Consider the following 20,870-nt stretch of genomic DNA (forward strand, 5'->3'; position numbering starts at 1 on the left):
GCCTGCCTGCCTTTTTAAATCCCAGTTTTACCACCTTGGGCCAGTTATTTAACTTTTCTGGGCCAAAATTCCCTCATCTGGAAAACAGGATAATAATACCGATATGTCCTGGTGTTGTGAGAATTAAATGACTTAAGTGCTTGGCACATAGTAAGTAAGTATTCACTAAGCGTTAGCTATTATGATCATTTTATTTTTGTGATTATTCCCCACCTCTAAGTCTCTCAGAGGATAAAAGCCTGTCTGCCAGTCTCCTCCGGCCCCAGTTAGTCATCTTCCCATCTTCCTTCAGTCTCACTTAGAGTCCTTATGCTGCAATCTAGGTCACCCTCCCCCAACACACACACACACACACACACACACACACACACACACACACTACACGCGGACACACATACAGACACACACACAGGTCAGCAGGGCCTCAGACACAGAAAAAAGTTTAATTCTGCTGCGGCGGAGGGTCCCGGCTCCGGTAGGGAGGGGGATTTGGTTTTGGATTTTGTTCGTGTGGGGATTTATTTGGGAGAGTCTGGTCCTTCCAGTGGGACCTGCCCGGGAGAATGAGTAAAGAGAAGAAATCAGGAGAGACAGGGAGACTAGACAAAACCAGGGAGGGCCGAGGGACAAGAGACGACAGGACAGAGAGAAAGGAGAGGCAAATAGGGAAAGACAGGCACTACAGAGAGACGACAAGAGGGCGGGATAGAGACAAACGAGGGAAACAGAGAAAGGGGGACCCCAAGCCAGACCCGACCGGACCAGGAATGTGCGTGGGGTGGGGTGGGAGGCTTTGGAGGCCGCCGCGGGACAGAATAGGATCTAGTCCAGCCAGATACAAGAAATGGGCCCCTCGCCCCGGCCCCGGGTGACGGGCTGGGGGAGGGGGCTCGTGTCTCAGTGCTGCAGTGTCAGGGGGCCCTGCCCCTCCCCGCGCTTCGCTGTGTAAGGCACCGGCTCCAGCGAGGTCCGCGAGCGCGCGAGGGGAGGGGTAGGAGGGGGGTCGAGGAGTCCATAGGGGAAGGGAGGCCGGCAGCCGGTCCCCGAACCCCGCCCTGGGCACGGGGGCGTGGCCTCGAGCCGCAGCCCGAGGCTGCCCCGCCCCCTCCCGGGGACAAGGGCGCGTCTCCACTCTGGTCCAATGTCTTGGCGCTGCGCTTTCTCCCAGTCCCGCCCCAGCGTCCGTGCGGCTGGGCGTTTGGTCTGCGGCACCCAGGCGTCCCGGCGCCCGCCCGCCGCTCACACGGTACTCTCCAGCATCCACTCGGTGCTGGTGAAAGCCAGGCACGCCCTGGCGGAGCCCAGCCCCAGGTCTCCATCCTCCCCGGCCGCGCCCCCTCCAGCCCCGTCCAGGTGCGGCGTGGACCGGTGGCGCTTTGTCCGCCGGGCGCGGCGCGGGTAACTGTGGCTCTGGAATAGTGCCCCGTAGTCCCCGTCGAACGAATAGCGCTGCTGCGGCCTCGGCCGGGCCGCGGCTCCCCCAGGAACTAGAGCTAGAGTAGGGGGCGCCGAGGTTGGTGGCTCCAGGGCGCCGGATCGGCTCCTTCGAGGGCCCACCGCGGCCCGAGACTCCTCCCCGGAAGTTTCCTCGGATGGCAGCAGGCACAGCGAGGTGGCCGAGCCGCCCAGAGAACGTCCAAGGACCACCTCCGGCTCCGCGGATGCCGTCTCGGCCTCCATGGCCTTGGCCTCGACGGCGACGGCGGGGGCAGCCTGGGACTCCACCTCGCGCAGCGCCTCGTAGTGGTCCTGGGCCGGCAGGGCCGGGGCCTGTGCCGCGCCTGTGCCTGCGCCGTTGGTCTGCGAGCACACGTGGCTGACCCGCGGGAGCGACCTGGAGCCCTTGACGCGGCGGCTGTCCCCGTCGCCATACACCTTATAGCGGATCATGAGCAGAACGATGAAGACGAGGACCGAGGCGACGATGACGCCCCCGATGGCGATGATCATGGTGCCGCCCAAGAAATGGGCCCTCAGCGGGCGGCAGGGCGCCGGATCCCCAGCGGTGGTGAACTGTACACAGCCCACCACTCGCGTTGCCGGCAGCGCTGTGGCCCCGTCGTCGTAGACCGCCAGCACGCACAAGTCGTAGGCACGGCCCGCCGCCAGGTCATTCACCAGGAAGGTCTGACTGGTGGACGGGATCATCCTGTAGGAGGGGGCGGGTTCAGGGCGGGGTTAGTCCCCCCGAACCACGCCCCTTCGCTTTATGCCCCGCCCATGGTGAACAGTGGGGACTAAACCCTGCTATCGAAGTCTCAGCCGCTACTGAGACAACAGCAGCAATTCAAGCCCCGCCTCCATCAACATATTCCCACCCTTTCACACCCCTCATCTGTATGCCCCGCCCTCAGACCCACCTCCTGGCTGTGTCCCATCACCCACTGGGACAATATATCTATCATTCGTATTACCTCCTCTGCATATCCCGGCCCCTGCAGGGGAGAAGTGCTATGGCTTTTAAGCCCTGCCCTCAAGGGACATGCTCCCTAGCTATGTCTCACTCTTGCTAGGACAACTGCCATTCAAGGTCCTTCATCTAGGCATTTCTACCCCAAAACTGGGCCAACGCTACTGGCCACCTCCCCTTTTCTGCATGCCCCATCCCCCACTCAGGTGGACACTAAGGTCAGCTCACAGCGCCTGTCATATTCCTACTGGAACAATGGATGCTCTTCTAGTTCCTCTTTTATACATATTCCTGCCTTTCAGGGAAAACCATGATGCAGGTCGCTCCCCCTTATCTGCATGCAGCACCTTTGGGTAAAACATCTAGCTTTGGCCGGCTGCAGTGGCTCACGCCTGTAATCCCAACACTTTGGAAGGCTAAGAAGGGTGGATCACCTGAGGTTAGGAGTTCAAGACTGGCCTGGCCAACATGGTAACCCTGTCTCTATTAAAAATACAAAAATTAGCCAGGCGTGGTGGCAGGCACCTGTAATCCTAGCTACTCGGGAGGCTGAGGCAGGAAAATCGCTTGAACCCGGGAGGTGGAGGTTGCAGTGAGCCGAGACCACATCATTGCACTCTAGCTTGGGCTACAAGACCGCAAGACCGAGACTCTGTCTCAAAAAACAAACAAACCAAAAAAAAAAAAAAAAAAAAAAAAAAAAACCATCTAGCTTTGTCTATGTCCTGGAACAGTTTCCAAGTCCCTTAACTACATGTTCCCTGACATTGCTACAGGCCATTCCCCAACCAAATGAAATGTGGCTTCCAGGCACACCCCACAATGGCCCACTAAGGATGGTTCCCCTACTGTGTATAGGCCACATCCAGACTACAGGCCCTGCTCCTTGTCCAGATATTAAAGGCAACCACCTCATATGTTCATGTGCCACCAGAAGTCACCAAATCACGCTACCAGGTAAGTTTCTTCCGTAAAGGGGTCAAACGTAGCCAAGCACACACCATATTCCTTTCTTGCTGTAGGCCCCTCCCCTCGAATGAAGACTAGTGTAGAGAAGTGGTTAAGATGACAAAGGCTGGGGGCCAGATTGCCCGGGTTTGAGTCTCTCCTCTGCCACTTGCTTGCTCTGTGACCTCAGGCAAGTTTCTCTTTTGTTTCATTTTGTTTTGTTTGAGACAGACTCTCGCTGTGTCACCCAGGCTGGAGTACAATGACGCGATCTCGGCTCACTGCAATCTCTGCCTTCCGGGTTCAAGTGATTCTCCTGCCTCAGCCTCCCGGACAGCTGAGATTACAGGCACCCACCACCACACCTGGCTAATTTTTGTATTTTTAGTAGAGATGGGGTTTCGCCACGTTGGCCAAGCTGGTCTCAAACTTCTGACCTCAGGTGATCCATCCGCCTCGATCTCCCAAAGTGCTGGGATTACAGTCATGAACCACCACGCCCGGCGAACTTCGCCAAGTTTCTTAACCTCCCTGTGTCTCATTTTCCCCAAATGGGGATGATAATAATTCCTACATCATAGAGATGGTGTGAGGAATGAATGAGTTAACACAGCCAGGACCTGGCACTTAATGATATCATCATTAGCTTGCATCACACCTCGTGTTGGCCAGTAACCCTTGCTGTGGCTCACACTATCCAGCCCATTGCATTCCTCCCATCTATAAGATCTACCCCTCTGGAGGGCCATTCCTGCTAGGCCTTGGCCCTCTTCTGTTGAGCACATCGTTTCCACACTGTGGGCCATGTCCAGCCTCAGCTAAACCTGGACTGCCCGTTCCACATTGATTGGCATGGCCAGGATGCAACCTCACAAGCTCTCTTCTCCAGCAAAGACTCTTGGTGGGTCCCGGGAGACAAGGACTGCCCCTTCCTCTTCGTGGGACCATGCAGAACAAGCTCCACCCCCTCTGACAGGCCACATCCCCACCTCCGAAGGCCTGCTTATCTCTCCGATGCTTCCGCTTCCCCTCCAGCAGAGCCACCTTCTGGCCCTGAAGCTCCACCTCTGTCATCCCACCTCCAGGAGGTTCTCCCACTACCAAGAGCCACCCTCCCACCAAAAGACTTCCAATCAGGGCCCCGCCCCTTCATAAAGGTCCACCCACTTCTCCAACTCCACTCTACCCACCCCTGACTGCCATTTCAAAGACCACTGCCACCCACCCCAGCCACCCTCGGCTGCCCTGGCTTTAAGCCTTCCTCCTCCTCTCTTCATCTCTCCTCTCCAGAGCCCTGGATTCCACTTGCTCCTTCCCCTAAATAGCCAGTTGCTAGGGGCTTCCCCCACCCCTTTTCAAGGACAGAGGCTGGCTCCTTAAGAAAGCTTCAGCCCAAGTGTCTCTAATTGGCTGCAGAATTAAAGCAAGCAGCTAAGCAGGCTTCTGGTTGGCTGCCACCTCCGCCCATGACAGCGTGAGGAAGTTAACCCCTGCGGCACCATAGCATAGGAATCTGCAATGGGGGTTGGAGAACTGGAACTGGGGCCCTACAGGGAAGAGAAGAGTCCCAGGGTCTGTTGCCCAGCTGGGGACAGGGGGCCATCAACATCTGCATCCATGCAGGGTCTGGGGGCTTGTGAACCTCCCCCACCCCACCATGTGGTGGCCATGGCTCAGAGCAAAGGAAAGAGAGGGACAGAGAAGTGGAGAGTCACAGAAGCTCAGAATTATTTACAGAAATATATTATCCATCTCCCTTCCAAGCAGTGGGTGCCCAACAAATGTGTGTCAGTGTATAAAGGACAGCTTTGCTACTTTCTGTGTGACCTTGGGCAAGTGACATCCCCCACTGAACCTCAGTTTTTCTGTCTTTGAAATGGAGAGGGGGTCATCACGCCTTCATAGCGGAGCTGGGAAGATCAAGCTTGGAAGTTCGTTGTGAAGGTTTGTGTTTTGTTCATTTGTTTGTCCTCATGTTTGTAAGGCTGGGCCAGGATCTAACCTATCTCAGTAGGCCCAGGGCCCAACACAAGATGGGCACACAGTAGGCATCTACTCAGTGTTTGGGACCAGAATCAAAAAGAGAGGGAAATGAGGAAGACAGAGACAAAAGAAAAGGGAGGCTTTTTTTTTTTTTTTTTTTTTTTCCAGAGGGAGTCTCGCTCTGTCACCCAATGGCGCAATCTCCGCTCACTGCAACCTCCGCCTCCCAGGTTCAAGCGATTCTCCTGCCTCAGCCTCCTGAGTAGCTGGGATTACAGGCACGTGCCACCACATCTGCCTAATTTTTGTATTTTCCGTAGAGACAGGGTTTCACCATGTTGGCCAGGCTGGTCTTGAACTCCTGACCTCAAGTGATCCGCCCGCCTCAGCCTCCCAAAATGCTGGGATTATAGGCATGAGCCATCGCGCCCGGCCAAGAGGCATTTTTTTCATTCAACCAACACTGGGAAAGCACCTACTATGTGCCACACCTATGGCCAAGAAAACACTGGAAAGGCAGAGATGGAGGCCAAGAGGCAGGTTTCTCGGTGAAGATCTGACAGCCAGGAGCTGGGGCTCTCCACAGGTAGGGAAACAGCTCCAGCCCCGCTGGCATCTCCAGGTGAAGCCAAGCAGATGACTGAAGCATTTAACTGGTGCTCTACAATGTGCATGAGGGAGGCAGAGCTAGAAGGAGAGACATCCATGTGGCAAACTACCATTTATCAAGTGCCTACTGTGTGACAATTCTGTGGCAGAGAGCCATACTAAAAAACTACCAAGATGGGCCAGGTGCAGCGGCTCACACCTGTAATCCCAGCACTTTGGGAGGCCAAGGCAGGAGGATCACTTCAGCCCAGGAGTTCAAGACCTGTCTGGGCAATATAGCAAGACCTCATCTCTACTAAAAATTTTTTTAAATTAGCCCAGTGTGGTGGTGCACACCTATAGTCCCAGCTACTCTCAGGAGGTAGGAGGATTGCTTGGAGCCCAAAAGTTTGAGGCTGCAGTGAGCTATGATCATACCACTGCACTCCAGCCTGGGGTGACAGAGCAAGACCCTGCCAAAAAAAAAAAAGAAAAAGAAAAAAAAAAACTACTGAGATGGAGAGACATGGCAAGGCCAGGACTGCAACTCATAGTGTACTATGGACCACGACCTACTGGGCTATAAGCTCCCTGAGGACAGGGTCTGGGTGGTTTCCCTGTGTCCCCAGCACCCAGCTCAGGAGTTTGCACAAAGCAGGGGCTCTGTGCCTAACGAGGGCAGAGAAGGTAGAGACAGACAGAGAGGTGAAAGGAGAAATAAGGAGGCGATGGGAGAAAATAACTCTTTTTTTAAAATGTCTGTTGACACCGTATGGTCTGTCCCCACCAGGGCAATGGCTTCAAACCCAAGTGAGGGTGGAAATAACATATTTTTCTCATACGTTTTGTTTTCTGTTTCTGTAATGTACCCAATGTGTTGGTTCAGTAGTACTGGTATATAATTTATAAATATAAATGTCGCTGTAGGCTAGGCACGGTGGCTCACACCTGTAATCCCAGCAATTTAGGAGGCCAAGGCAGGCGGATCACTTGAGGTCAGGAGTTCAAGACCAGCCTGCCCAACATGGTAAAATCCTGTCTCTACTAAAAATACAAAACTTAGCTGGGTGTGTTGGTGGGTATCTGTAATCCCAGCTACTTGGGAGGCTGAGGGACGAGATTCGCTTGAACCCGGGAGGCGGAGGGTTTCAGTGAGCTGAGTTCGTGCCACTGCACTCCAGCCTGGGCAATAGAGTAAGGCTCAGTCTCAAAACAAACAAATAAATAAATGTCACTGTAAATGTGTGTGTGTGTTTCATGCTCCAAAATGTTTAACTGAAGAGGTGCACAATCAGATTGTTGTGGGGAGCAGTGATATCGACCATGAGCCCCATGAGGGCAGGGTTCATGCTGAGCTCAGTCACTGTTAGGACTCCAGTGCCCAGCCCTGGTCGGGTTCATGTAGGTGCTCAGCGAATATTTTCTATAAGCACGAAAAACAGAGACAGTGAGAAATAGAGAGAGGAGACAGGGCAAAGGAGGGCGGGAACAGCTCTCACAGCCATCTAGAACCCTGGCTGAGCAAGAAGGCCAAGGGAATGGGCAGGTGGGAGGGAGGGTCCCCCTGGGCTTGGGAGGAGGCCCTGGGACTGCAGCACCCGCACCCACCTGTAGACGAGGGAGTCATCAACGGAACTGTTGTACTGAACCTGGTACATGCGTATTCCGGGCACAGGCCTCTGGGCTGGCCAGCGGATGAGCACGGAGTTCGAGGTGAGCTCGGCTGCCACGAGCCGACGCTCAGCCGCAGAATCGTTGGCACCTGGTCTGCCCGGCGTGGCGATGTCAGAGGAGCCGGGCTCGGTGAGAGGCGGCGGGGCAGCCGGCGGGGGTGCCATCAGAGGCAGAGGTACCACGCACACCTCCACGGGCGCCGTCGCTTCCCCAGCAGCATTGGAGGCGATACAAGTGAAGGTGCCACTGTCCCTCAAGGTGGTGATGGTCACATCCAGCGTCCCGTCCCCCCGGACCCGGGTCCGGCTGGAGTTCCCCAGCAGCCGCCCATCAGGTGCCACCCAGTGCACCACCGGCTCGGGGTCACCCACCGCTCGGCAGCGCAGGCTCACCGCCTGGCCTTCCACCACCAGGGCCCGGCCCCCCGCCTGCCGTGTGATCAGCGGGGGCTCACACAGGAACTCCTCCTCGGGGATGGACCAGAAGTAGCGGTCGGTGAGGTGTTCGGGCGTGGCGCAGGTCTCTAAGTCGTCCTCGCGGGTCAGCCGCCGCAGCCAGAGCAGCTCGCAGTTGCAGTGCAGGGGGTTGCCGCCGAAGCTGACGGTCAGCGGGGTGGGCGGCTTGGGCCCGGTGCCCTGCGACCTCAGGAAGAGCCCGTCGGGCGGGAGTTTATGCAGGCGGTTGGAGGTCATGTCCAGACGGACCAGCTTGTGAAGCTGCACGAAGGTCCCCTCCGCGATGTGGTCGATGAGGTTGTGGTCCAGCGTGAGGGTGTTTAGGTTCACCATCTGGCCCACCGCCTCCCACGGCAGGGCCTCCAGGTTGTTGTAGGACAGATCCAGGTCCTCCACGGTGGACAGGAAGGCGTCAAAGGCCGCCGACTCCACCCGGCGGATCTGGTTGTTTCCAAGGATCAGGTGGCGGAGGTTGCCCAGGCCGCGGAGCTGGTCGCCGCGCACCTCCGCCAGGCGGTTGCTGTCCAGGTGCAGGGCCCGGAGGGCACGCAGGTCGGCGAAGGCGCCAGCTGCCACCTGGCCGATGGTGTTCCGGGAGAGAGTGAGGTGCACCAGGCTGGTCATGTTGGCGAAGTCTCGGCGGCGCACGGCGGCGATGAAGTTGTCGGTGAGCCGCAGCTCCACCACGCGCCGGTCGATGGCGGGCGGCACAAAGAGCAAGCCGGTCTTGGCGCACAGCATTGTCAGTGTGGGCGCCACGTTCTGGCAGATGCAGCGGCCGGGGCAGGGCTGGCCACGAGATGCCCCCGCCCAGAGCAGCAGCAGAAAGGGCAGGGCAGCGGGCGGCGGCGAGAGGAGGGCCGAGGAGAAGGGTCCTGGAGCCATGGTGCAGTGGGAAGGCAGGAGGGGTGGGAGGTGAGACCTGCCGGGGAAGGAGCCGGTTACCCAGGCGTGGGACTTGGCCGCCATGGGATGTCCTGCTACGAGTCAGGCCTGGATCCCTCCCCTACCGCCTACAGCTGGGTTCCATAGGATGGTGAGAGGAAGCCACTATCAGCTATTAACAACAGATTACAACACTTCCATGCTGGGCACAGTGGCTCACGCCTGTAATCCCAGCACTTTGGGAGGCCGAGGCAGGCGGATCACCTGAGGTCAGGAGTTCAAGACCAGCCTGGCCAACATGGTGAAACCCCGTCTCTACTAAAAATACAAAAATTAGCTGGGCATGGTGGTGGGCGCCTGTAATCCCAGCTACTTGGGAGGCTGAAGCACGAGAATCGCTTGAACCAGGGAGGTGGAGGTTGCAGTGAGCCGAGATCACACCATTGCAATCCAGTCTGGGCGACAGAGCAAGACTCCATCTTAAAACATAAATAAAAATAAAAATATCTCTATACTGGTTGATAGAATACCCCTGTCCCTACTTGCGTGTCCCACCCTCACCTCTGCCCCTCCTGTAGTAGCTCCCAAACCTCTCATGATCTCCCAACCAGAGGGGTGACACCTGGCCCAACCTGGGCCCTCCAGTACCCACTAAATTGTCTAAAAAATCACTGTTAACTATGGTTTAAGGCCCTGGCTATCCAAGCCATACTCCCTAGCTCCAAATCCCAGCTCTGATACTTACTAGCTGTGTGACCTCCAGCAAGTATCTGAACCTCTCTGATTCTCGGTTTCTTCATCTGTAAAAGGGAGATAGAAACAGGCCTTACTTCTGTGAGGATTAAATGTATTGATGAACATAGCATACTTAGAATAGTGCCAGGCATATAAAATGTGCTTATTACATGTTAGCAATCATCATCATGATCATCAAGTGCTTAATATGTACCAGGCATAGAACAGTGCCCTATTATTGAGAGTAAGTACTTTGAAATCAAACAGACTCAGGTTCAAATCCTGATTCCCCTTTTGCTAGCTCTGTGACCCCCAAGCCAATGATTTCCCCTAGCTAGGCTGTAATTTCTTAATCTGTAAATTGGGATGATAATTGTACCATCTTCATTCATGTACCACCGACCATGCCTGGCATACAGTAAGTACTCAATAAATGTTAAGGGTTTCCCCCCTCCCGCCTCTGGCATTGGCAGGGAGAGTGTCAAAGTGGGAGGGACTGAGGAAAACACATCAGAGTCTTCCAGTTCAGCCTCAGGAAGGCCTTCTCTGAGGTCTGGTTTCATCCTGGGCTCAGTTGAGCTCCCAAGCAAGGCAGACTTTCATGCTCACATCTTTGGGTACACACAACACACACACACACACTCACACACTCACACACTCACGCTATGTCTCTGCTCCAGGCAAAACCTTCCGGCAGGGATTCCCCCTGCGGCGGCTGCAGCCCACGACATGTCAGTTCCCATCACAACACAGGGTGGGCGGGGGGTGAAGAGGAAAGGATGGGAAGGGGGCGTCCCTAAAACTGTTTTCACCCCACCCTGCCCTGTACCCTAGCCCCTGCTGGCCTACCTCCCAGGAATCTGTGTTTGGGGCTACGGCCTTAGGTGGCTTTGATCTTCCTGCCAGTGGGGAGGGGGCCTGGGACAGAGACCAGGAAAGTCAGAGACAGAGGTGAAGAGAGACAAGGAGAGACCAGGGGGAGGGAGAAGTGGACTGGCAAAGAGAGAGAGACAGATTGGGAGAGAAACAGAGAGACAAAAAGATGAGTCTGAAAGGAAGGTGAACAGACAGAAAACTGAGAGTGAAGAATGAGACACAGAAAAGAGAGAGACACAGAAAAAAGACACAGAGATGGAGAGAAAAATAGAGACAGTATTAGAGAGAAAAAGACAGAGGAGGAAAGAGACAGAGAGTAAGAGAGACAATGACCGGGCTGAAGGCGGAAAAAGAGGCCGGATCGGGGTGTCCTACCATCTCTGAGTTCACCCCAAATCTGTCCTTCACTCCCTCTAGATCACTACTCTACAATGTACTGGAAACCCTGGCCTAGAAAGGGGGACTCCAGAATTAGGAGCCTGAGTCTGCCCCTGCTTGGCTGTGGGGTCTTCAGGGCTCAGAATCCCAGTCTATGAAACAGAAGTCCAGAGCCTCGCCTCCGACAGCTGGGGTAGGACTCAAATGGAGGGAATAATAATAGCAATGGAAATAGCTAACATTTATGGAGAGTGGTGCAGCACTGCAGGACAGAATCCGCCCTACTGCCTGGGTTCAGACCTCACCTCCCCACTGTGTGACTTTAATCAAGTGACTTCCCCTTTCTGTGCCTCGGTGTGCTCATCTGTCAAATGGGAATAATAATGGCACCCACCTCATAAGGTTGCTATGAGGATTTAATGAGATAATATTTTATGACATGCTTAGAATAGTTCCTGACAAAGTAAACACTATATACATGTGAGCTGCTGCTATTATCATTATTATTATTACTATTATTATTACTAATTTATTATTTTCTCCAGCTTTCTCAGCCACCAGGAGGTCAGGCTATCGGGAGATCTTCCCACACCCATGCACACGCACATACAAAATGGGCAAACATATTCACTCAACCCTCTAAATGCAGGGGTCATTTCATATCTTGACATATTCTTGTATCCTTTACTGATATCATGAGGAAACCTTGCTTTCCCAAACACCTTAACCATCCTGAGAATGAATGTCTCTTGGCCTGAAACCCCCCACCTGCTCCCCAGAGCCACCTGGCCACCACAAGCCCTCACCCAACTTTGATGTTCCTGACCTTGTCACCACTCCCCAGCCTTGGACAGAGTGGTGGGCAACTGGTCCTTCAGGAAACTGTCATCCCCTGAACTGAAATCCATGCGAGGCAGGGTTCCAGACCCCCAGCTGGCTGACAGCAAGCCCCATCACCCCCCATGTCTCTCTCTCTCTGAAGCCTTACGGCTCTACTCACCTCTCTTCAGGGAGTCAGGGCCTGGGCCAGCACCTGCAAAGGAACAGAACCACCTTGTTAGCATCGTTCTGGCTCTTCTCTGTGCACCAGATCTTGCCTTGGAGACCATCCCGGCCAAGGAAGTCCCTGGTGTGATCACGCTCTCAGTCCTCCTGTGGCGGGTTTTGCATAGTCTCACAGGAACCCAGAAGTCCTCTCTGGAATCCTAGATTAGGCCTCAGGGTTGTTCACCCTCCAAAGCCCAGGAGTCGAGGACTTTAGCCCTTTGTCCTCTGGGGTTTCAGGAGCCAAGAACCCCAGCCCCCTCTTCCCTCTGACCCAAGAGTCCAGACCAGACCTCTGGCCCTCCATTAGAACCCAAGAGTTTACATCCCAGCCCCTCAACTCCAAAGTCCTGAACGGTACCAAGAGCTGGGGAAGGGCCAAAGTTTCCCATCCTTGCCATGATACTATTGCCCACACCAACATGTGTGTCCATGTCAGAACCCACGCAAGCCCACAACCCAAGTCTCTACATCTGGATTTCTATGAACATAGCAACATGATCTGTGTGCCCTCCGCCCTCTATGGGCACTTGGCCTGGCATATGGACACACTGTGTCCAGGGACCCCAGGCGGGACCCCAGTATACCAGAGGTCATGCCACATGGGCCTCAAACCCACTGAACCCAAGAGTAGGGACAGCCTTGTGCCAGGGCACAGACACATGTGTCTTTCACATACATGTCTGAACATACACAACCCCCAGAGACCAACACCAAAACACAAACAGACTCACAACATAGATGGATACATACCCTCAAGGTTGACACACCTGCATGCAACAATACATGTACAACACTGACTCTGCCATGCAAGTTCACACACACAAATGCACAGATACAACAGAGAAACTCATGTGCCCCCTAACAGACAACCAGGTACATGCATTTACAACAGATCTACCTTGCACACTCACCAGCACACAGGGGCACACACATCTAACAAACACACACACACCTGTGCAAACATACACAAGTGCACACTCTTAAATGCCTAGACACACTCATACTTCACACATCTCCATGTTGCAAAGTTGATACAGCACCACGCTAACAGATACATACCTCACACACACACACACACACACAAAACCACAAGCATACAGATACGAGGCTGATCCACACTGGAACACGCACACAGGCACAAAAAGATCCACCTTTGCAGACACGCCAAGATGTTCACTCATAACAGACACATGCTCACACAACAGTCCTGTGATTTACACACTTCCAAATGCATAGAAAATACTGAACCACAGTAGCACAGTCAGTAGACAGGCCCAGATTCACACTCACACAGTCTTGGACACACATTCCTCCCAGCCCTGAGGCACCCCCCCACCACCCCACCTACTTACTTCCCAGGCCCAAGAAATCCTAACATCCCTGCAGCACATTCAGCATCCTGCCCTCCACACCCCCAAAAAACCAGGGCAAAAGCCAGGCCAGAGGTCAGAGTTCAGCAGGTGGAAACTCAAGAGGATTTGGGGGTTTGAGTCCTAGATCACCGTTTCAAGGAGATCCTCCCACCAGCAGCCCCAAAGGTTCCCCAGCCTGGCCATCAGGATGGAGGTAACTCTGGCTCCGTCTGCAGATGTCTGGCCGGTGGGGGAATTAGGGTGGAGTGGGTGGGGAAGGGCCGGGTCTTCGCCCCCCAACCCCCACCTCAGGGCCCATCTGTCCATTTCTCGGCCTCTCATCCCCCCTCCATCTGTCCACCTCCTGGCCGCCCATCCCCCCCCCGCAACCACCGGGAAGGGGAAGACATGGCCGCTTCCCCCAGGACCGCTAAGGACCCCCCAGTTGACATGGACCGAGGGAGCGGCGAACTCCCCTCCCCCAAATCCACACCGAGGCCTGGGCGCCGAGCCTCAGCCCCCAAGCCAGCAACCTGCCGTGGACTCACAGATACACACCCTCGGAGACATACAACCCGCAGACACACACACACACACACACACACACACACACACACAAATGGACACCCGAGCGGGCACACCCGGCTCCACAGACCCGGGGATGGACATCCAACCCGGACACAAACACCCAGAGCAGCTAGTCGCGCACGCACATGGGCTTGGGGGGGACCCACACCTGGGCACACAACCCACGCACACACACACCTGCACACAGCCCCTCCGATGGGCGCGCGACAGCGCCCAGACACACAGCCGGAGGGGCGGCCGCTCGGGGGGACACGCGTGCACAGCCGGACACGCCGGCCGGGCTCGACACCCCGCGCACACCCGATGGCCACACGGGCAGGGCGCCGCACACGCCGGCACCGGGCACACATAGGGCCGCGCGGGCGCACGCCGGGCCCGCCGCAGCGCCACGGACACACACTCGCACGCTCGCACGCTCACACCCGCGCACACACCCGCGCCCCCGCCCGCCGCTCCCGGGCCGCTGCAGGCCGCGCTCACCCAGCCCGGGGGGGCCCCGGGCCCGGCCCCGCCGCCGCTGCCTCGCTCCGCGCCATGGTGGGGGGAGGGCCGGGGGAGGGGGCGCGGTGCCGCGGGGCCGCCTCCCTCCCGCCTCCCGCCCTCCCTCCCGAGCCGCAGCCGAGCTCCGCCCTCCGCGCCGCCCGCCGCCACCGCCGCCGCAAGGGGGGAGGGGGCGCCGACTGGTGGGGGCGGCCGGGCGGGGCGGTCGCACACCCGGGATCCCCGCCCCGAACCCGCCGCAGACCCCTCTCCACTGCCGAGCCGCCGCGGGCCCGCCCCCGACCCTTCCCCAGCCCCACCCCCAGCCCCGCCGGCCTCCCCGGAGACCCCCCCAGACCACGCCCCAACTGGCCTAGGGACCCCGGATCTCCCTACAGAGACCTCCCATCACGTCCTAATACCCAGGGGGACCTCGGATCAGGCCTCACCTCTTTTGAGAACCCAGGCGATGTTCTAGGGCCACCCAGGACCACAAATCATGCCCTGCTCTCCTGCTTGACCTCAGACTATGACCCACACACTGTCAGGAACCCCAGACCATGCCCCCAAACCCAGAAGAATCCCAGATCATATCCCAGCATCCAAGGGGATCCAGACCACCCCACCAGCAACCCTAAATCATATCCCAACATTCAGATAGACCCCCAGACCACACCCCTTCCCTCACGGACCCCAAATCATACCCTAACATCGGGGGAGACTTCAGACCATATGTCAGCCAAATCCCAGATGGTGCCTGACTCCCTTTGGGGACCCAAACCACATTCTACAGCCACCAGAACCACAAATCATATTCCACTCCTTCTTGGGGACCCCCAGCCATGTCCTTCTACCCTCAAGGACCCTAACCCATTCCCTTACCCCCAGTATGAACTCCAAACCATGCCTAACTTCTAGGGGGCCCTAAAATGTCTCTTATCCCTATGGAAGACCCTTAAACTTTCCCCATGAACCCCATTAGACCCCAAACCATCTTCCACCCCTTTGACCTTACACCTTTCTCTCTCCTTCTCCTCCAAGACATCCTTTGGTTTCCAAAACTCCCCAATTAGCCCCAATTTTTTCCCACCCCCTACTAGTCCTGCCCCCTTGAGGACCCTGCCTCCTTCTTGCTCCAGTTCTTTCTCTTGGACCCTGAAAGTCCCCCCTCCCTGTGACTTCCATAGAGCCCAGAATGCCTTGCTCCTTCCTAGTTCAGACCCCTTTGCCCATCCCCTGTCCCATAGCTGAACCCCACCCCTTCCCTCAAACCCCACTGAGTATCTCAGGCCACTCTCCTTCTCTTTCTGAGATATTCACAGGGTCCCTAAACCCAGCAACTTCTCCCCTAAAAATCTGTGTTGTTTCATGCAGTGCCCCAGATTCCTGGGGTCTCAAACCCTTCTCGTTTTGGATCCCACTGTACAGAGGTCCTCCTCTAAACCCCTTTCCTAATTTTTTTTTTTTTTTAGACAAAGTCTCACTCTGTCACCCAGGCTGGAGTAGAGTGGCACGATCTCGGCTCACTGCAACCTCCACCTCCCAGGTTCAAGCAATTCTCCTGCCTCAGCCTCCCTAGTAGCTGGGATTACAGGTGTGCGCCACCACGCCCGGCTAATTTTTCTTTTCTTTTTCTTTTTTCTTTTCTTTTTTTTTTTTTTTTTGAGACAGAGTCTTGCTCTGTTGCCCAGGCTGGAGTGCACTGGCATGGTCTCCGCTCACCGCAACCTCTGCTTCCCGGGTTCAAGCAATTCTCCTGCCTCAGCCTTCCGAGTAGCTGGGACTACAGGCATGTCCCACCATGCCTGGCTACTTTTTGTATTTTTAGTGGAGACAGGGTTTTGTCATGTTGGCCAGGCTGGTCTCGAACTCTTGGCCTCAAGTGATCCGCCCGCCTCAGCCTCCCAAAGTGCTGGGATTACAGGCATGAGCCACCGCACCCAGTCTAATTTTTCTTTCTTTCTTTTTTTTTATTTGTTTGTTTTTGAGTCAGAGTCTCACTCCATCACCCAGGCAGGAGTGCACTGGTGTGATCACAGCTCACTGCAGCCTGGACCTCCTGGGCTCAAGTGTTCCTCCCATCTCAGCCTCCTCAGTAGCTGTTTTGTTTTTGGTTTTGTTTTAGTTTTTTTATAAATGGAGTCTCACTATGTTGCCCAGGCTGGTCTTGAACTCCTGACCACGGTGGTCATGAGCTACTGTGCCTGGCCTAAATTATTTACATGAAGCCCGCCCTATCCCCCAGATCAAGCTCAGCTCTGCAGATAACTCCTTCTGGTGAACCTTAACCCCAAGCGCAACTCTGAGATGTCCCTGGGGACACTCACAATCCCCCTATTCTCCAGACTCCACCCTTCATCGCCACCACCCAGGCAGCATCCCCACCTCCCACCGTGGTTGCTAGTGCTCCCTGCTGGAGCTTGGGGGTAGGAATAACAACAACAACACAAGTGAACACATATACAGCACTATTTATGTGCCAGAAATGATTCTAAGGGTTTCACATCTATCACTTCATTCAATCTACACAACAGCCAAATGAAGAGGTCCTATTACCATCCCCATTTTATGGATAAGGGAAATAGAGGCACAGAGAGGTTTGGTCACTTGCCCAAGGTCACACAGATAGTATGTGGCAGAACAGGGTAGGGGTGATGGGGAAAGAGGGTGAGGGTAGGCCTGGGCTGGACAGGAGTAGAAAAGAGAGGGAGAGAAAAAAAGATAATAATAAGAGAGACAGATGGAAGAAGAAAGAAGCTGAAACCGAGGGAGATATGCCTTATTCATAGAGCCAATCTGGCCCTGTGAGCTCTGGTCCCAGCTGACCCTATTTCCAACGACTCTCCTCTTCTGTTCCAGCTTCTTCTTCTTCTTTTTTTTTTTTTTCTTTTTTTTTTTAGAAATGGGGGTCTCACTATGTTGCCCAGGCTGGTCTGGAACTCCTGGGATCAAGTGATCCTCCCGCCTCAGCCTCCCAAAGTGCTGGGTTTACAGGCGTGCACCACCACTCCTGGCCCCTCTTTCAGTTTTAACAATGACTTTTCTTTTCTTTTTTGAGACAGGGCCTCACTCTGTCACCCAGGCTGGAGTGCAGTGGCATGATCTCGGCTTACTGCAACCTCTGCCTCCCAGGCTCAAGCGATTCTCCTACCTCAGCCTGAGTAGCTGGGACCACAGGCGCCCACCACCACACCCGGCTAATTTTTGTATTTTTAGTAGAGACAGGGTTTTGCCATGTTGGTCAAGCTGGTCTCGAACTCCTGACCTCAAGTGATCCGCCCACCTCAGTCTCCCAAAGTGCTGGGATTACAGGTGTGAGCCACCGCATCCGACCCCTTGTTCAGCTTCTACGATGACTTTCCTATTCCTCCAACACACCAGCCCACAGCAGCAGCCCCTGAGCATATGCACTCTTCTCCCCTTTCCATGGCTGCTGGTTCTTTCTTTTCATGATGGTCTTAAATGTAATCTCTTCAAAGAGACCTTCCTTTTCCATCCCCAATTTACACACACCATCCCTACCTGGGCCCCCAACCAGCAGTCTGATGTTACTTTGAAATAGAAGAAGAAGGAGAAGGAGAGAAGAAAGGAAGAAGAAGGAGGAGGAGGAGGAGGAGGAGGGGAGGAAGAGGAGGAGGAAGAAGAGAAAAGAAAAGAGAGAAGAAAAGAAAGGAAGAGGAAGAAGAAGGAGGAGGAGGAAGAAGAAAGGAGGAAGAAGAGGAGGAAGAAGAGGAAGAGGAGGAGAAGGAGGAGGAAGAAGGGTGGCTGGATGGATATATGATGAAGTAATACCTTGACGTGTCAGTGGTGGCATCTAAGTGATGGGTATATGAGTGTTCACTATAAAATTATTTCAACTCAGGCTGGGCGTGGTGGCTCACATCTGCAATCTCAGCATTTTGGGAGGCCGAGGAGGGAGGATCAGTTGAGCCCAGGAGTTCAAGACCAGCCGGGCAACATAGCGAGACCCCATCTCTAATAAACTTTTATATAAATATATATATAGATATATATATAATACACACACACACACACATATATATATAATTATTTCAACTTGGCTGCATGTTTGAAATGTTTCATAGTAAATGTTAGGGAGTGGGGAAGCAGGACTCTTCTGGCGGCAACAAACAGCCCCACCAGGTGCCACCATTTCTATCTAGCACATCACCTTATTTATTTCCCTTATAGTATTTATCACTCTCTTTATTTTTATTTTAAAAGGAAAAAAGAGATGAGGTCTTGCTGTGTTGCCCAGGTTGGTCTCGAACTCCTGGGCTCAAGCCATCCTCCTGCCTTGGCCTCCCAAAGTGCTGGGATTACAGGCGTGAACCACTGCGCCTGGCTCTTGTCACCCTCTTATTTTGTTTACTTGTTTACCTATTTATTGTTATTTATTTACTGTCTAGTCATTGAAATATAAGCCTCCCAAGGGAAGTGGCACGGACACCAACATCTTCCAGTGCCCAGAATAGTGACTGCCACCCAGGAACTCAGTAAACGTGCTTTTCTTAAAGACAGGGTCTCCCTCTGTCACCCAGGCTGGAGTGCAGTGGCGTGATCATGGCTCACTGCAGCCTCGACCTCCCCAGGCTCAGGTGATCCTCCCACTTCAGCCTCCCAACTACAGGCACGCACCCCCACACCCAGCTAATTTTTTATTTTTTGTAGAGAAGCGGTCTCATTATGTTGTCCAGGCTGGTCGCACACTCTCGGCCTCTAAGATTTCCAGCCTCGGCCCCCCAAAATGTAGGGATTACAAGGTGTGAGCCACTGCACCTAGACAACATGTGTTCTTTTTATTTTATTTTTATTTATTTATGTATTTATTTATTTTGGAGACGGAGTTTTGCTCTTGTTGTCCAGGCTGGAGTGCAATGGAGCGATCTCGGCTCACTGCAACCTCTGCCTCTCCGGCTCAAGTGAATTCTCCGGCCTCAGCCTCCCGAGTAGCTGGGATTACAGGCACGTACCACCACGCCCAGCTATTTTTTTGTATTTTTAGTAGAGATGGGGTTTCACCATGTTGACCAGGCTGGTCTCGAACTCCTGACCTTAGGTGATCCTCTGGGATTACAGGCGTGAGCCACCGTGCCTGGCCCAACATGTGTTCTCAAATGCGTCTTGGGAGAGGACTGGGGATCTAGTCTGGCTCCAGACTCAGTTCAGGGACCACAGGAAGGAATAAATAACGACCTCTTAGCCCAGGTTCCCTAGAAGAAAAGGGTATACCCAGCAGCTGGAGAATGTCCCATAAGGTAAGGGAATGTGTGAGTTGGCCTGAAAAACGGGCAACAGGTTGAACTAGACATCTTAATTGTTTCCCTGGAGCCCTAATTCCTGCCCCAAACCTAATACAGACCCTCTACCAATCCCATTCTTCTGGCCCCGCCCCAAGCCTAGGCCCCACCCCCAGACTCTTAGGCCCTGCCCCAAAGCAAAAACTCCAGCCCTTTTAAAGCTAAGCAATGCCCATTCCGGCCCTTTCAAGGTTAGGAAGTCCCCCAAGTCTAGGGCACCGACTCAAAACTTAGGGAGCTTGGATCTGTGGGCGTTTATAGGATAGGTTGGTGGAACTAGAGGAGGCGGTCCCCAGTTTGTACTGCCTCTCCAGGGAATCTCCCCAAACCCGAAGACACGTCCCATTGTGCTGACTCCTCATTGGATAGTGCAGTCTGTTCTGGCCTCTCTGATTGGTCCTTCCACAATCCCTAGCTGTACTCCCTCTGCATTGGACTGCGCCTGTGAGCCACCCTTTCTGATTGGCCCCTGCTTTCCCATGCTTTGCTCCTGATCGGGCAAGTCCTTGTGCATGGCTCTTTCTGATTGGACCGTTTGTAATCACAAGCCTGGATGAAACAGAAGTTCCACTATGGAGGGTGGGAGTACCACCAAGGAGGACGAGGAGGAGGGGGGGGAGGGGGAGGGGGAGAGGGAAGGGGAGGGGAGGGGGAGGGGAGCGGGGAGGAGGAGGAGGTTCCCTAAGTCTCTTGCCTAAGAGAGAGTGTGGCCATTGACCCCCAAGATAGCCTGGGCTTAAAGAGTTCTAACTGTACAGACCACAGGTGCCTTTGGCTTCTATGCCTCAGATTTTTATCGTCTTTAAGTTGGAGAGAATAATAGTACCTTTTTCACGAGGTATTGCAATAATTAAATAAGCTAATGCCTATAAACTGCTTATAGAAGTACCTGGTACATAGGAAGCCCTCAAGAGGAGGGTCAGCTATTAGTATTCATTTGATCATGTAAGTGCATGACCTTGGATGAGTCCCTCTGCCTCTCTGACCTCTGCAGGCCAGGAGTTCCTTGTCCATTTAATTGAATGACCCCTCTTGTCTCCAGTCCTCCTCCTCCTCCATCTCCTGCCTTCAGGGACTGGGCCTGTGATCAGAGGGAGGGACAGAGAGATAGGGACAGGAAAACAGCACTAGTGGAGGGCAGAGGAGCTCAACCTAACCCTCCAGAGAATTT

At 54.4% G+C, this 20,870-nt stretch overlaps 1 protein-coding gene across 2 annotated transcripts, besides 2 other annotated features; it reads right to left on the reverse strand.

Annotated features, from left to right (window-relative positions):
* Positions 1 to 172: 172 nt before the first annotated feature.
* On the reverse strand, positions 173 to 14,470 carry LRFN1 (leucine rich repeat and fibronectin type III domain containing 1). 2 transcript variants are annotated; one of them, NM_020862.2, is made up of 5 exons: positions 14,400 to 14,470; positions 11,933 to 11,965; positions 9,689 to 9,743; positions 7,538 to 8,980; positions 173 to 2,149 (listed from the first exon to the last, which is right to left on the reverse strand). In NM_020862.2, exons 4-5 carry the CDS (start codon positions 8,941 to 8,943, stop codon positions 1,240 to 1,242), a joined length of 2,316 nt encoding a protein of 771 aa, NP_065913.1. In that variant the 5' UTR covers positions 8,944 to 8,980; positions 9,689 to 9,743; positions 11,933 to 11,965; positions 14,400 to 14,470; the 3' UTR covers positions 173 to 1,239. The 2 variants fall into 2 exon arrangements, with proteins under 2 accessions (NP_065913.1, XP_016882522.1); XM_017027033.2 differs by having other exon boundaries at positions 14,097 to 14,470.
* Positions 1,434 to 1,935: an enhancer, noted in NCBI's record as "H3K27ac-H3K4me1 hESC enhancer chr19:39798467-39798968 (GRCh37/hg19 assembly coordinates)". NCBI's record gives its function as "activates a minimal SCP1, AML or CMV promoter by ChIP-STARR-seq in naive H9 embryonic stem cells {active_cell/tissue: H9 hESC(naive)}" and the evidence as "EXISTENCE:reporter gene assay evidence [ECO:0000049][PMID:30033119]".
* Positions 14,059 to 14,318: a silencer, noted in NCBI's record as "silent region_10596". NCBI's record gives its function as "represses an Ori minimal core promoter by ATAC-STARR-seq in GM12878 lymphoblastoid cells {active_cell/tissue: GM12878}" and the evidence as "EXISTENCE:reporter gene assay evidence [ECO:0000049][PMID:35858748]".
* Positions 14,471 to 20,870: the final 6,400 nt, after the last annotated feature.

This window comes from Homo sapiens, chromosome 19, assembly GCF_000001405.40.
Source record: "Homo sapiens chromosome 19, GRCh38.p14 Primary Assembly".
Lineage (NCBI taxonomy): Eukaryota > Metazoa > Chordata > Mammalia > Primates > Hominidae > Homo > Homo sapiens.

Bases quoted from the DNA above. Each gene is read 5' to 3' on its own strand.
- LRFN1 (NM_020862.2), bottom strand. From the start codon at position 8,943: ATGGCTCCAGGACCCTTCTCCTCGGCCCTCCTCTCGCCGCCGCCCGCT. The intron at 2,150-7,537 runs GTGGGTGCGGGT...CCCCTCCTACAG, and splicing joins GATGACTCCCTCGTCTACAG to GATGATCCCGTCCACCAGTC.